The sequence below is a fragment of the Homo sapiens genome, chromosome 1 (assembly GCF_000001405.40).
Source record: "Homo sapiens chromosome 1, GRCh38.p14 Primary Assembly".
NCBI lineage: Eukaryota > Metazoa > Chordata > Mammalia > Primates > Hominidae > Homo > Homo sapiens.
The window spans coordinates 26,770,640-26,786,316 of NC_000001.11; the positions used below are offsets into that span (position 1 = coordinate 26,770,640).

At 47.6% G+C, this 15,677-nt stretch overlaps 1 protein-coding gene across 2 annotated transcripts in view, besides 1 other annotated feature; it reads left to right on the plus strand.

Moving 5' to 3' along the window:
• The window catches only part of ARID1A (AT-rich interaction domain 1A), an 86,090-nt gene extending 74,625 nt beyond the window's left edge, over positions 1 to 11,465 (plus strand). The window contains exons 12-20 of one of the 2 annotated variants that reach the window (NM_006015.6): positions 480 to 687; positions 1,861 to 1,993; positions 2,173 to 2,348; positions 2,707 to 2,857; positions 2,941 to 3,078; positions 3,163 to 3,259; positions 3,690 to 4,581; positions 4,938 to 5,068; positions 8,384 to 11,465. In NM_006015.6, coding sequence (NP_006006.3) covers positions 480 to 687; positions 1,861 to 1,993; positions 2,173 to 2,348; positions 2,707 to 2,857; positions 2,941 to 3,078; positions 3,163 to 3,259; positions 3,690 to 4,581; positions 4,938 to 5,068; positions 8,384 to 10,117 — 3,660 coding nt within the window. In that variant the 3' untranslated portion in view covers positions 10,118 to 11,465. The remainder of the gene's footprint in view (positions 1 to 479; positions 688 to 1,860; positions 1,994 to 2,172; positions 2,349 to 2,706; positions 2,858 to 2,940; positions 3,079 to 3,162; positions 3,260 to 3,689; positions 4,582 to 4,937; positions 5,069 to 8,383) is intronic. The other variant, NM_139135.4, reaches the window with a different exon arrangement.
• Positions 1,535 to 2,734: an enhancer, noted in NCBI's record as "CDK7 strongly-dependent group 2 enhancer chr1:27098665-27099864 (GRCh37/hg19 assembly coordinates)". NCBI's record gives its function as "activates an origin of replication core promoter dependent on BRD2, BRD4, P300/CBP, MED14 and CDK7 cofactors, with strong dependence on CDK7, by STARR-seq in HCT116 cells {active_cell/tissue: HCT116}" and the evidence as "EXISTENCE:reporter gene assay evidence [ECO:0000049][PMID:35650434]".

The following is a 15,677-nucleotide window of genomic DNA, read 5'->3' on the forward strand; positions in this document are numbered from 1 at the left end:
CCCAGCTACTCGGGAGGCTGAGATAAGAGAATCGCTTGAGCCCGGGAGGCAGAGGTTACAGCGAGCCAAGATCACGCCACTGCACTCCAGCCTAGGCGACAGAGCGAGATTTATTTTTTCTGTCTCAAAAATAAATAAATAAAATAGGATTTAGATATCCAGATGATTTGTACACCACTTTTTAGCAGCGTACTAAAAAACCGGACTCTGAATTCTGTTCCAGTAGTAATGTGAAATTTGCCCTGTTGTGAATAAGCACAGTCTGATAGTTGCAGTGGAACATCCTGAGGGTAAAATGAAGCCAGCTGCAGATTTAACACTTCTTGTGGACTATCCACCAAGCAAGATTAACTTTTTCAATTACCTAAGAACTGTGGTTCTACAAAGATGAATACCTTACAGCCTGATGGGGCTTGGGGCTTATGGGCAGGAAAACCAGGCGGGAGATATACCTCGACTCCTTTGGTTTGGTTATACAGGTCAACAAGAACAAAAAATGGCGGGAACTTGCAACCAACCTCAATGTGGGCACATCAAGCAGTGCTGCCAGCTCCTTGAAAAAGCAGTATATCCAGTGTCTCTATGCCTTTGAATGCAAGATTGAACGGGGAGAAGACCCTCCCCCAGACATCTTTGCAGCTGCTGATTCCAAGAAGTCCCAGCCCAAGATCCAGCCTCCCTCTCCTGGTAAGGATGGGGTCAGCGGCCCCACCAAGGCTGAGAGGGCCTGTTGCCCTGGCCTCTTATTCAGGATATGAATAAGAGGCTTATCCAACAGGATATGCCAAGGATCTGTGCTCTGCCTTGCCCTACCACAGGGCTTAACAGGTTGGCTGACTAGAGAGTGGGCAGTGGAAACTCCCTTGGGAGGTACTCTACGGCAGCTCTTAAGTTTTAATTTTTGTTGTGCAGCTGACAACTTGCCAAATGTTTGTAAACTGGTGAATGGGAGGGGCACAAGAGGAGTCGGTGGAACTTATAAATGGCAGCAAGGCAGGGCCATCTGGGAGCTTTGGCCTATTGATGTCAGCACCTTAGAATGCAGCTCAGACTAGAGCCCTGAATTCCCCAGGGAGCTGAGATGGTAATGAATGGGAAGGAGGGAGTGGGGAAGGGTTATGAATGGAACTCCCTGATGGGAGTGGCTCTGCTCACCCTCCTTTCTGAGAGGAGGCTGAGGCCTAGGGTGAGCCTAGAGAGGGAAGAAGGCCAGGGTGCCTGGAAGGTGGGTGTAAACACATGTGCCCTGGTGTTGACCTCTGAGGGTGTAATGAGTGCCTGAGATGACTCATCAGCTGGGGAGGCCTCAGCAGTGGGATATCTACTGCTGGGAATGGTAACTATTGGAAACATTAATTACTAGTAGTTTTGTACTCATCAGCTTAGAAGAACATTTGAAGTTGAGGAGTGACACCATGCTGGATGCTTTAGAACAGGAGCTCCTAGACTCCTAAAATGCATCCCAGATTTGGGACCCCCTTCCCACCCAGGACTTGGGAGGCTCTGACTGGAGCTCATGCACCAGCATTACAGGGTTTAGTAGGTTAGACAAGGTCCTTTGGCGGAGTGAAGAGAAATAGCCAGGGAAGCTGGCAATGACTCAGGGAATCACCAGCATGGTGATGTCATGGCCACATCACTCCTCTTTTCTACACGTAAAACAAAAACAAAGAGCTACAAAACCCTCAGATTCCCGTCTTTATGACCTGGCCTTGTAGATCCTCTGCTAAGAAGGGTGATCAGGCTTTAAAGGCCTTAGGAAGAACTTTCCCAAAGAGATTCTGGGTCGTTCGTGTGTTTGTGTGAGAGTTAAACACTGTCATGCCAAGCAAACTACTCAACTTGTATCTCTGTCCACAGCGGGATCAGGATCTATGCAGGGGCCCCAGACTCCCCAGTCAACCAGCAGTTCCATGGCAGAAGGAGGAGACTTAAAGCCACCAACTCCAGCATCCACACCACACAGTCAGATCCCCCCATTGCCAGGCATGAGGTAAGGCCAAGAGCAGGGGCAGATGGTTGGGAGGATGGCTGAAGATAAGTGCATGGGAACTCCTTGCAGCCCAAGGTGGTCCTTGCCTCTGCCTTCCCAGCCAGTGACTCCTGCGTGTCCTTTGTTATATTGGAGGAATTGGTTTATTTGTGGTTTACTTGGTTTTCCTCACTCTGGAGCAGGAGCAATTCAGTTGGGATCCAGGATGCCTTTAATGATGGAAGTGACTCCACATTCCAGAAGCGGAATTCCATGACTCCAAACCCTGGGTATCAGCCCAGTATGAATACCTCTGACATGATGGGGCGCATGTCCTATGAGCCAAATAAGGATCCTTATGGCAGCATGAGGAAAGGTGACTGATCTGATTGCTATTTGAACTTGTGCTCGTAAAGACAGGGCCAGTGAAATGGGGGGAAATCTTGAGAATGGCTCAGGGTTCTTGTGGAGCCATCCTCTGAGATAATGCATTTCCTGCCCTAACTACCCCTCTTCATCCTTACCTCCTTTCTTGTCTTCTCCTTGGCTTCACCTTGTCATCCCTTAATAAGTACATGCTTTTCGCTGGTTGGGGCCTCTTTAGATCTCTGTTTTGAACTTGTCTGGAAAACAATGAGATCAAACCTGAACTCTGAAGAGGGCCTGGGTCAAAGGGTAGATTACCAGGCTTGTCAACTTACCAGTTTGTTCACCGCTTGCCTTTCTACGCTCAGCTCCAGGGAGTGATCCCTTCATGTCCTCAGGGCAGGGCCCCAACGGCGGGATGGGTGACCCCTACAGTCGTGCTGCCGGCCCTGGGCTAGGAAATGTGGCGATGGGACCACGACAGCACTATCCCTATGGAGGTCCTTATGACAGAGTGAGGTAAGCATGACCCCAGCTCCTGTCCACTCCCCCAGCACCCTGAAGCTATAGTGGGCTCAATCTGCCTCTCCAATTTTGTTTAGGACGGAGCCTGGAATAGGGCCTGAGGGAAACATGAGCACTGGGGCCCCACAGCCGAATCTCATGCCTTCCAACCCAGACTCGGGGATGTATTCTCCTAGCCGCTACCCCCCGCAGCAGCAGCAGCAGCAGCAGCAACGGTGAGTAAAGCCTGGTCTCGGTGCTGCTATGGATCAGGCTTCGCCACTGCCCACCCTAATCCTGTGTTTCTTTGCCTCCTATAGACATGATTCCTATGGCAATCAGTTCTCCACCCAAGGCACCCCTTCTGGCAGCCCCTTCCCCAGCCAGCAGACTACAATGTATCAACAGCAACAGCAGGTGAGGAGGGTAGCTGGGAATGGACTGGCATGCAGGTTCGCCTTGAAAACTAGTTAGTAAACTAATCTAACGTGTTGAAGTCTAAGAAGCTCACTTTAGATATTTTGGCATTCTTCTCTCACCTGACTGGCCAGTCCTGCCTGAAGAGCCACGTCCTCAATCTCTTCTCTATTTGGAGTTGGAAGGGGCTAGAAATAGACCTTATTTTGATTTTTAGGTTTTGTATATTTTTCTACTTAAGCAAGGGAAGGGAAGAAAGAGTGGTGGTTGCTTTTGGAAACAACTTCAAAAGACAATTTGTTAAGGTGATTCCCATGTTTTCTTGGAGTCTGTGTCCACCAAGCATCTGGTTGTAGCCATCTTGGCATCTGTGGGCTTTATGTCCCTGAGTGCAGAGTATTAACTTCCCCTCTGCTTGTCTCTGCCTTAGAATTACAAGCGGCCAATGGATGGCACATATGGCCCTCCTGCCAAGCGGCACGAAGGGGAGATGTACAGCGTGCCATACAGCACTGGGCAGGGGCAGCCTCAGCAGCAGCAGTTGCCCCCAGCCCAGCCCCAGCCTGCCAGCCAGCAACAAGCTGCCCAGCCTTCCCCTCAGCAAGATGTATACAACCAGTATGGCAATGCCTATCCTGCCACTGCCACAGCTGCTACTGAGCGCCGACCAGCAGGCGGCCCCCAGAACCAATTTCCATTCCAGTTTGGCCGAGACCGTGTCTCTGCACCCCCTGGCACCAATGCCCAGCAAAACATGCCACCACAAATGATGGGCGGCCCCATACAGGCATCAGCTGAGGTTGCTCAGCAAGGCACCATGTGGCAGGGGCGTAATGACATGACCTATAATTATGCCAACAGGCAGAGCACGGGCTCTGCCCCCCAGGGCCCCGCCTATCATGGCGTGAACCGAACAGATGAAATGCTGCACACAGATCAGAGGGCCAACCACGAAGGCTCGTGGCCTTCCCATGGCACACGCCAGCCCCCATATGGTCCCTCTGCCCCTGTGCCCCCCATGACAAGGCCCCCTCCATCTAACTACCAGCCCCCACCAAGCATGCAGAATCACATTCCTCAGGTATCCAGCCCTGCTCCCCTGCCCCGGCCAATGGAGAACCGCACCTCTCCTAGCAAGTCTCCATTCCTGCACTCTGGGATGAAAATGCAGAAGGCAGGTCCCCCAGTACCTGCCTCGCACATAGCACCTGCCCCTGTGCAGCCCCCCATGATTCGGCGGGATATCACCTTCCCACCTGGCTCTGTTGAAGCCACACAGCCTGTGTTGAAGCAGAGGAGGCGGCTCACAATGAAAGACATTGGTAAGGAGATCTTCCTCATTCGGTTGCCTAATCTGCCCCTTTCCATCTTGTCCATTGTTCCCTCCACCTTACTATTCTGGATGAGGTTGAATCTGGTCCAGTGTTGACTAAAATAGAACCAAAGAACTTTGGAAAAGGAAGAAATAAGCTAACTAAAGGTTCTCCTTCATTGCCATGCAATGAAGTCCTAGACAGACAGCTTAGAAGCCATGAGGGGCTGGTGTGTTTCATCTCCCAGACAGAAACTGCCTTCCACCTTGTGTTATCTTCAGAGTAGCTTCACTGATGGGGCAGCCCTAGGGGTGCCTCCAGCCAACCTGGGCTTGGTGGATAGACGACATGGAGGTTTATTTCAGGAACCCCGGAGGCATGGCGGGTAATGATGTCCCTCAAGTCTGGTCTCCTGGCAGAGAGCACATGGGCATTAGATACCATCAACATCCTGCTGTATGATGACAACAGCATCATGACCTTCAACCTCAGTCAGGTGAGTATCAGTGCCTGGGGAAGATTGAGAGGGTTTGGGATCTTCTTAGTGTAGACAATGGGAATGTCTCATCTTTAGCCACCTTGGTCTTTCTCTTTCTCTCTTGTAGATATCTTCCATGCCAGTACTTTGCTTCCTTTGCCTCTGGGCACGGGCCCAGGATTTTGACAGCAATAATAATTTGTTTACATGATAACCTTAACACAGGATTGACTTCAAAAGGAATTTGGGAGACACTTTGTGGTATTAGTAAGAATTCAGATTCAATCGATGCCAGTGGGGACACCACATTTTCTAGAAGAATCTGTGTTTTTTTGTTTTTTTAATAGAGACGAGGTCTCACTATGTTGCCGAGGTTCATGAACTCCTGAGTTCAAGTGATCCTCCCAAAGTGCTAGGATTACAGGCATGAGCCACCAGGCCCAGCCTGAATCTGTGGTCAAATTTTTATCAGTGAGCAGAGTATGTTTTTTCCATTTTTCCCTTTCTTCTCTGAACAGTAGGGGCCTTTGTTGATCCCAGTTTTCCTTAGATGTAGAGTGGATGGGGGATTTGATTGTTTAACAATATTCTTTTTTTTTTTTTTTTGACTGAGTCTCTCTGTCGCCCAGGCTGGAGTGCAGTGGCGCTATCACAGCTCACTGCAACTTCCGCCTCCTGGGTACATGCCATTCTCCTGCCTCAGCCTCCCAAGTAGCTGGGACTACAGGCGCCCGCCACCACGCTCGGCTAATTTTTTGTATTTTTAGTAGAGACGGGGTTTCACCGTGTTAGCCAGGATGGTCTCGATCTCCTGACCTCGTGATCCAGCCGCCTCAGCCTCCCAAAGTGCTGGGATTACAGGCGTGAGCAACCGCGCCCGGCCCTACAATATTCTTACAAAGCTGATTCTTCAGACCCACCCTCCATAGGATGTGCACACTAGTGGAGGTGCTGGAAAGAGTTTGTGCTGCATCATCCTACTCTTTTTCTTTTGATCATCTTTAGTACCTACCAACCTGTATATCAAGGAGCTGACTTATTAATAGTTACCATTTATCGTGCTCTTATTTTGTGCCAGGTCCTTAATATTTTGTTTCATGTCATCCTAGCAACAGCCCTCAGAGGTAGGAGGTATGGCCATTTAGGGATGAGTAAATAGGCTCAGTCTTATCCTTGTTGAGGTTCACATAGCTGTCAGTAGAATCTATCTGATTCCTAAGCCTGATTTTATTTCCATTGCATAATATTGCCTACCATGAGAAAGGAAAAATTTTGATAGAGCAATTTTCATATGCCAGGTATTTGACATCTCCCATTTACACCTCAGAACAACCCTGTAAAGTTTAGGAATTTTTATCATTTTATACAGCTACTTCCTGGAAAAGCCAGAATTTTTTTTTTAAGAGACTCTGGCACCTAGGCTGGAGTGTAGTAGTGCCCTCATGGCTCACTGCAGCCTCAAACTCCTGGGCTCAAGCGATCCTCTTGCCTCAGTCTCCTGAGTAGCTGGGACTACAGGCAAATGCCACCATGTCCAGCTATTTATTTATTTTGAGACAGGGTCTCCATTACTCAAGCTAGAGTGCAGTGGTGCAATCACAGCTCACTGCAGTCTCAACTTCCGAGGCTCAGGTGATCCTCCCACCTCAGCTTCCCAAGTGGCTGGGACTACAGGTGCGTGCAAACATGCTCATGCTCAGCTAATTTTTTTTTTTTTTTTTTTTGAGAGATGAGGCTTCACCATGTTGCCCAGGCTGATTTCAAACTCCTGGGCTCAAGTGATTGACCTACCTCAGCCTCTCAAAGTACTAGGATTACAGGTGTGAGCCACCGTTCCAGGCCCCGGATAACTTCTTTATTTTTTTATAGAGGCAGGGTCTCACTGTGTTGCCCAGGCTGGTCTCAAACTCCTAGGCTCAAGTGATTCTCCCACTTCAACCTTCCAAAGTGTTGGGATTACTGGCTGGGTGCAGTGGCTCACGCCTGTAATCCCAGCACTTCAGGAGGCCGAGGCAGGAGGATCATTTGAGGTCAGGAGTTTGAGGCCAGCTGGCCAACATGGTGAAACTCCATCTCTACTAAAACTATAAAAATTAGGCTGGGCGCAGTGGCTCACGCCAGTAATCCTAGCACTTTGGGAGGCCAAGGTGGGTGGATCACTTGAGGTTAGGAGTTCAAGACCATCCTGGCCAATATGGTGAAACTCCATCTCCACCAAAAATATAAAAATTAGCCGGGCCTGGTGGCACACACCTCTAATCCCAGCTACTTGGGAGGCAGAGGCAGAAGAATCACTTTGAACCCAGGAGGCAGAGGTTGCAGTGAGCTGAGATCGTGCCACTGCACTCCAGCCTGGGCAACAGAGCGGGACTCTGTCTCAAAAAAAAAAAAAAAAAAATACACACACACACACTCTCACACACTAGCCCGATGTGGTGGCAGGCGCCTGTAATCCCAGCTACTTGGGAGGCTAAGGCAGGAGAAAAATCGCTTGAACCCAGGAGGCGGAGGCTGCAGCCAACTGAGATCACACCACTGTACTCCAGCCTGGATGACAGAGTGAGACTTCATCTCAAAAAAAAAAAAAAGTGTTGGGATTACAGGTGTGAGCCACTGCTTCCAGCCCCTAGATCTAATTCGAAAGCCCTTATTTTTTTTTCCATCTGCTCTACTGTTCAGCCAAAGATTGTGACTGGAGAGGAGTGTTTTCTTCTAGAGGTAAATAAATGGCCTATATATTATCCAAGGTGGAATTTGGGTCTCTGTAGCACCAGCTTGGACCAGTGTTTGGAGAGCTGAAGCCTCGTCCCACTCCTTATGCTGCAAGATCCATGGAGTTCCAGCCCCCTGGACTTGTGGGGAGCTTGGAGAAGAGAGCCATGAACATCTGCCCACATGGCATTCTCTTCTCTTAGCTTAAGTCACCATGCCTAAGCTTGGGTTCCACTTGGCAGTGAGATGGAGAGAGTGTCCTAAAAGAGATAATGGCAATGACCACCAGGTTGAAAACTGGCCTGGTGAAGAAAAGCAGAAGATTAATTGGGAAAAGAGAAGGCTAAGAGATGATTGGCCCTGGTGGGTGAGGTGCAAAGCTGTTGGCTAGTGTTCCTGGAGATAGGCTTACGTGAAGGTAGGTTGGGCAGAAGAAAGAACTTTGTGTTGGGCATAGAAGAGATTAAGATGAACAATTTGCTCTGTGGAGAACCTTTGGGAAAGGAGCAACTCTGCCTCTCCCAACTGATACAGAAGACTTGGGGAGGTCTCTCAAGTCAATAATTCTGTTCTTAGGCCACTTTTCTCCCTTAATTTATTTCCTGTTCTTTCTCTTTTTAGCTCCCAGGGTTGCTAGAGCTCCTTGTAGAATATTTCCGACGATGCCTGATTGAGATCTTTGGCATTTTAAAGGAGTATGAGGTGGGTGACCCAGGACAGAGAACGCTACTGGATCCTGGGAGGTTCAGCAAGGTGTCTAGTCCAGCTCCCATGGAGGGTGGGGAAGAAGAAGAAGAACTTCTAGGTCCTAAACTAGAAGAGGAAGAAGAAGAGGAAGTAGTTGAAAATGATGAGGAGATAGCCTTTTCAGGCAAGGACAAGCCAGCTTCAGAGAATAGTGAGGAGAAGCTGATCAGTAAGTTTGACAAGCTTCCAGTAAAGATCGTACAGAAGAATGATCCATTTGTGGTGGACTGCTCAGATAAGCTTGGGCGTGTGCAGGAGTTTGACAGTGGCCTGCTGCACTGGCGGATTGGTGGGGGGGACACCACTGAGCATATCCAGACCCACTTCGAGAGCAAGACAGAGCTGCTGCCTTCCCGGCCTCACGCACCCTGCCCACCAGCCCCTCGGAAGCATGTGACAACAGCAGAGGGTACACCAGGGACAACAGACCAGGAGGGGCCCCCACCTGATGGACCTCCAGAAAAACGGATCACAGCCACTATGGATGACATGTTGTCTACTCGGTCTAGCACCTTGACCGAGGATGGAGCTAAGAGTTCAGAGGCCATCAAGGAGAGCAGCAAGTTTCCATTTGGCATTAGCCCAGCACAGAGCCACCGGAACATCAAGATCCTAGAGGACGAACCCCACAGTAAGGATGAGACCCCACTGTGTACCCTTCTGGACTGGCAGGATTCTCTTGCCAAGCGCTGCGTCTGTGTGTCCAATACCATTCGAAGCCTGTCATTTGTGCCAGGCAATGACTTTGAGATGTCCAAACACCCAGGGCTGCTGCTCATCCTGGGCAAGCTGATCCTGCTGCACCACAAGCACCCAGAACGGAAGCAGGCACCACTAACTTATGAAAAGGAGGAGGAACAGGACCAAGGGGTGAGCTGCAACAAAGTGGAGTGGTGGTGGGACTGCTTGGAGATGCTCCGGGAAAACACCTTGGTTACACTCGCCAACATCTCGGGGCAGTTGGACCTATCTCCATACCCCGAGAGCATTTGCCTGCCTGTCCTGGACGGACTCCTACACTGGGCAGTTTGCCCTTCAGCTGAAGCCCAGGACCCCTTTTCCACCCTGGGCCCCAATGCCGTCCTTTCCCCGCAGAGACTGGTCTTGGAAACCCTCAGCAAACTCAGCATCCAGGACAACAATGTGGACCTGATTCTGGCCACACCCCCCTTCAGCCGCCTGGAGAAGTTGTATAGCACTATGGTGCGCTTCCTCAGTGACCGAAAGAACCCGGTGTGCCGGGAGATGGCTGTGGTACTGCTGGCCAACCTGGCTCAGGGGGACAGCCTGGCAGCTCGTGCCATTGCAGTGCAGAAGGGCAGTATCGGCAACCTCCTGGGCTTCCTAGAGGACAGCCTTGCCGCCACACAGTTCCAGCAGAGCCAGGCCAGCCTCCTCCACATGCAGAACCCACCCTTTGAGCCAACTAGTGTGGACATGATGCGGCGGGCTGCCCGCGCGCTGCTTGCCTTGGCCAAGGTGGACGAGAACCACTCAGAGTTTACTCTGTACGAATCACGGCTGTTGGACATCTCGGTATCACCGTTGATGAACTCATTGGTTTCACAAGTCATTTGTGATGTACTGTTTTTGATTGGCCAGTCATGACAGCCGTGGGACACCTCCCCCCCCCGTGTGTGTGTGCGTGTGTGGAGAACTTAGAAACTGACTGTTGCCCTTTATTTATGCAAAACCACCTCAGAATCCAGTTTACCCTGTGCTGTCCAGCTTCTCCCTTGGGAAAAAGTCTCTCCTGTTTCTCTCTCCTCCTTCCACCTCCCCTCCCTCCATCACCTCACGCCTTTCTGTTCCTTGTCCTCACCTTACTCCCCTCAGGACCCTACCCCACCCTCTTTGAAAAGACAAAGCTCTGCCTACATAGAAGACTTTTTTTATTTTAACCAAAGTTACTGTTGTTTACAGTGAGTTTGGGGAAAAAAAATAAAATAAAAATGGCTTTCCCAGTCCTTGCATCAACGGGATGCCACATTTCATAACTGTTTTTAATGGTAAAAAAAAAAAAAAAAAATACAAAAAAAAATTCTGAAGGACAAAAAAGGTGACTGCTGAACTGTGTGTGGTTTATTGTTGTACATTCACAATCTTGCAGGAGCCAAGAAGTTCGCAGTTGTGAACAGACCCTGTTCACTGGAGAGGCCTGTGCAGTAGAGTGTAGACCCTTTCATGTACTGTACTGTACACCTGATACTGTAAACATACTGTAATAATAATGTCTCACATGGAAACAGAAAACGCTGGGTCAGCAGCAAGCTGTAGTTTTTAAAAATGTTTTTAGTTAAACGTTGAGGAGAAAAAAAAAAAAGGCTTTTCCCCCAAAGTATCATGTGTGAACCTACAACACCCTGACCTCTTTCTCTCCTCCTTGATTGTATGAATAACCCTGAGATCACCTCTTAGAACTGGTTTTAACCTTTAGCTGCAGCGGCTACGCTGCCACGTGTGTATATATATGACGTTGTACATTGCACATACCCTTGGATCCCCACAGTTTGGTCCTCCTCCCAGCTACCCCTTTATAGTATGACGAGTTAACAAGTTGGTGACCTGCACAAAGCGAGACACAGCTATTTAATCTCTTGCCAGATATCGCCCCTCTTGGTGCGATGCTGTACAGGTCTCTGTAAAAAGTCCTTGCTGTCTCAGCAGCCAATCAACTTATAGTTTATTTTTTTCTGGGTTTTTGTTTTGTTTTGTTTTCTTTCTAATCGAGGTGTGAAAAAGTTCTAGGTTCAGTTGAAGTTCTGATGAAGAAACACAATTGAGATTTTTTCAGTGATAAAATCTGCATATTTGTATTTCAACAATGTAGCTAAAACTTGATGTAAATTCCTCCTTTTTTTCCTTTTTTGGCTTAATGAATATCATTTATTCAGTATGAAATCTTTATACTATATGTTCCACGTGTTAAGAATAAATGTACATTAAATCTTGGTAAGACTTTTGTGAAGCTTTTTATTGTTTTCAAACTAAAACTTGACCTTTTGTCGGGGGGCAGGGGGATAGTCCTGTTTTTGCAAACCTCCCTTAGTGTGAGATCTCCCCTAAATAGTGGCATTCCTGGACCCTGTCATTTATTTACTATATTCCAAAATAAGACAACCATTTATCTGGAGGCAATCTCCAACTTAATCACTTATAATATCTCTGGACTGGCTCTTTTCCCTGACTCCAGACTAGAGCATTCAGCCACCTTTCTTGTCATCCCTGCTTGGAAGTTTACTTTGAACATGCCAAAGCTAAAATGTCCTGTCTTCCCCCACTAGAAACCTGCTTCTCCCATAGTTTTGGTTTTTTTGTTTGTGTTTTCCTTTTAGTAAATGGCAACTCCATTCTATCACTTGGCTAAAAAAATCCTTGACTTCTTTCACTTCCACATCCAATCTGTTAGCACTCTTCATAAAATAATCCTCAATCCCACACTACTGTAGTTCAAGATACTGTCATATCTTGGATTCTTGAAATACCTCCAAATTGGCCTCCCTGCTTCTGCTTTGCCTGGTTGAACCTATTCTCAACAGAGCAACCAAAAGGACCCCTATAAAAGGTAAGTCAGATCAAACGCCTTCAGTGCTTCTGACTCAGTAAGTAAAAATCCAGACTCTTAAAAAGTGGCCTACAAGGCCCTGAGTTATCTAGCTTACCTCTACCTTTCCTGCACCATCTGTCTTGCCCGTTGCTCACCCCACTGTATAGAGATGTTTCCACCTTGGAGTCTTTGTACTTTATACTCTCTCACCAAATAACTGCATGGCTCAAGTCCTCGACTGCTTCAAGTCTTTGTCCAAATATATAAGTAAGGCTTTTCATGGTCACCTTACTTAGAATAGCAATCTCTGCCCCCCACTATGTTTCCCTTGTCTGCCTTATTTTTCCTGTGGCACTTGTTACTGTCTGGCCTGTTGTGTGTTGTACTTACCTGTCACCTTCCACTGAAATGTAAACTGAGGGTGGTGGGAGGGGTGTTTTGTTCACTGCTGCATCCTGGTGCTAACACATAGACTGGCACATAGCATCTACTTAAGTAGTAGTTGAATGATACTGTCGATGTTGGCTAGATGCAGTTGCTTTTATGAGGCTAATGTCACAATATATAGTTTCTCTGTTCACCCCCTTCCTTAGGGAAACAATAGAGAAGCCTCAAGTTCCTCAGGAGAAATCAGAAGCAGAAAGAGAAAAAATGCTATCATTGTGGACACTTAGAAGTGAAATTTGAAACAAGAAACAACAGTTTTCTATTGTGTACCTACTTATATTCTGGACATAGCACATCACAATCCTACAACAATCCTGTGCCTGTGAAGTCAGTATGTGGCTCCCATTTTACAGTTGAAGAAAGAGGCTAAGAAAAGTGAAAGGCTTTTTAAGTTCATACACCAAGCAAGTTCCACCTGACTCCAAGGATCATGCTTTTCTTAATATACCACACTACCTCCTTTCTGGATGAGAACCCAACCCAGGAGTAAGGGATCTAGCTGTGGAGCTCAGCAAGCAAGATTTGTTTTTATTGTCTTTAGCACGAGGTAAAATTGTCCTCAGAATTTCAATCAAGTGTTCATCAGACTAAGTGTGGCTGTTAATATTTGGGTCAGGAACAGGATTTGAATAATTAGTATTTCTCAATTGAGAGAGGAAAACCTTTGTCAACCAAGATGCGTTCCTAGGATTCTTCTAGAAAAAGGTAAATGGGAAGCTTTTCATATCTACAATTTTGGTAAGCAATATTGCTAATGGCTATTTTTGTTCTAGGCCTCGAGCTCCGTTTGCTAGTCTAGAAATTGCATATCTGGGCTGTGTGTGGAGCATTACCTAGGAGTTCGGTTTCCTGGGTTCCTTTCATCTGCTCTCCTGCAATGCAGGGAGAGCCTAGCCTGGTCTCCAGTTTCTGACTGGAGTTACCATGGCCAAGAGAACTGCTGGCCAGTGAGCTGTGAGTAATTTGCTTTTGAGAAGTAAATAGAACCTAGCCAGCAGAGAACCCAGGGGTGTGGCCAGTAGTTCTTTTCCCAGGCTCCTCCCTCCCCACCCCCCAAATGACCTTAACCTTCTTTCATAGCTGGAGAGCAGCCAAGTCCAGCCTAAACAATACTCTCAACCTCATTGGCTCTTTTGCCTTGCAGCCACTGCCACCCCCAAGTGGCTAAGGCCTTCCCACTAGGCCTCTCAGTGGGGTCAAGGTTTTCTAACCACTGAAAGGCAAACACTGAAGGAATGGTGAAAAATACCTAGTGACCATGGGCTTTAAATGATGAGTGTTTGGGTACTGCAGTTGGAGGCAAGGCAGAGTCTTTGTCCTTGGGTGGATGGGCATCTTCAAGTGATCGGGCAGAGGCCAAAAAGGATGCTTTTGGTATATGAGACCTGACTGGTGTCACCCCAAGTGTCAGGATGGATGTAAATGTCACCCAGCATCTTGGAAACTGCCAATGAATGCCTTTTATCCCACAGCAAAAAGAAGTAGCATAAAGTTCTGGTAAAGTACAGCAGGCCAGTATGGTCACTTTCGCCCCACAATGGCATGACATCAGAGCCAGCATCCCAGATTAGGATCAGCTATTCCAATCCCATAGGACTGGGGCCATGGAAAGTTTAGCTTCTAGAAACTGAACTGCTGAGAGTAGTTGGGCTACTTACTGGGCTGGTCCTCTGCCCAGCCTGGGGCCAAGGCCACTTCCAGAAGTGGAGGCAGGAGCAAGGCAAGGCAGCTACAGAGAGAAATGTCAGTTGCTCCAGGGAAGTGAGTGTTCTGTGAGAACCACCTAACTTCCTTCTCTACACTTTCAGTGGGAAAATCACTTTTTTGTTCAGTGAGTTGTAATAGCCCATCTTTATTGAGCATTGTATGCCAAGCACTATAAATCCTATGAGGTAGATATCATCTCCACCAGGGCAAGGATTGTTTCTATCTTGCTCAGTGTTGCATCTTCATCCCATCACATAGTAGGCATTCCTGTACTGTTGAACAAATCAAACAGATAAGATAGGAATTTGATGGAGGAAAGAGTAGGTCAGAGCTGTTAAGACTTGGTGTGCCCATCTTAGCATAGCCCGTAAAGACTCTTACATATGGGAAAAATGGAAGAGAGGGAAAGAGGTAAATCTGTGAAAGATTAAAATAGTGTAGAGTGGGAGAACCAGCCTGGGAGGCTGGAGACCTGAATTCAAGTCCCATCGCTACCACTAGCTATGTGACTTCTTGCCAGTCACTTACCCTTTGTGATCCTTAGCTCCCTCATCCATAAAATATAGGTATAGGATTAAAGAAATTGATTTATTGACCAGATCTTTATTGAAGACACACAGTGTGCAAGGCACTGTTCTAACTGGAAATACATTGGTGAACAAAGCCCTTGCTCCTCCATTACACTCAGAAGCTTACATTCTAGAATAGGGAAACAGACATTGAAACAAGTAAAATTCATGGACAGGACAAGCAGATAGTGTTAAGTGCTATGAAGAAAACAGAGGCCGGGCGCAGTGGCTCACACCTGTAATCCCAGCATTTTGGGAGGCCAAGGTGGGTGGATCCTTTGAGCCTAGGAGTTCCAGACTAGCCTTGGCAATATAGTGAGACCTCATCTTTAAAAAAAAAAAAAAAAAAAAAAAAAAACAGAACAGACTGATGGGATAGTACAGGGAAAGCCTCTCTAAGGAGGTGACTTCTCTCCGGAGACCCAAACATAATGGGCTAGCCAAAGGGTGGTCTGGAAGTAGAGTGCTTCAAGCAGGGAAAATAGCAAGAGCAGAGCCAGGCAAGTTCAAAGAACAGAAATGATGTAACCCTCTTAAATCCTAAGCTTCTAGAATAGTAATGCATTGCTTGCATTGTTCTGGTTAGGGATTTGTATGTGATATTGTTTCTTGGTGATGTGGGATATGTGCTTCTTAATGGAAATGGCTGGGAAGTGTGGAGTCTTTCTGGAGCCTGGGATATGGCTCTTTCTCACTTGCTTTCCACAGTTCTGGTAGCTCAGCTGGCTCCCTGGGTAGATGCAGGCTCCATCTTAGCTGCAGACTCTACAAGAACACTGAGAGGCTGCCTCCGTCACTACTCAAAGCCTTGGAGTCCCAGAATCCCCTCCTATCCCACCTAGCCTTCTTCCAATCTGAAACCAGGGAGTCAGGGCTTTGAGAGCACAAGATTCAGCTT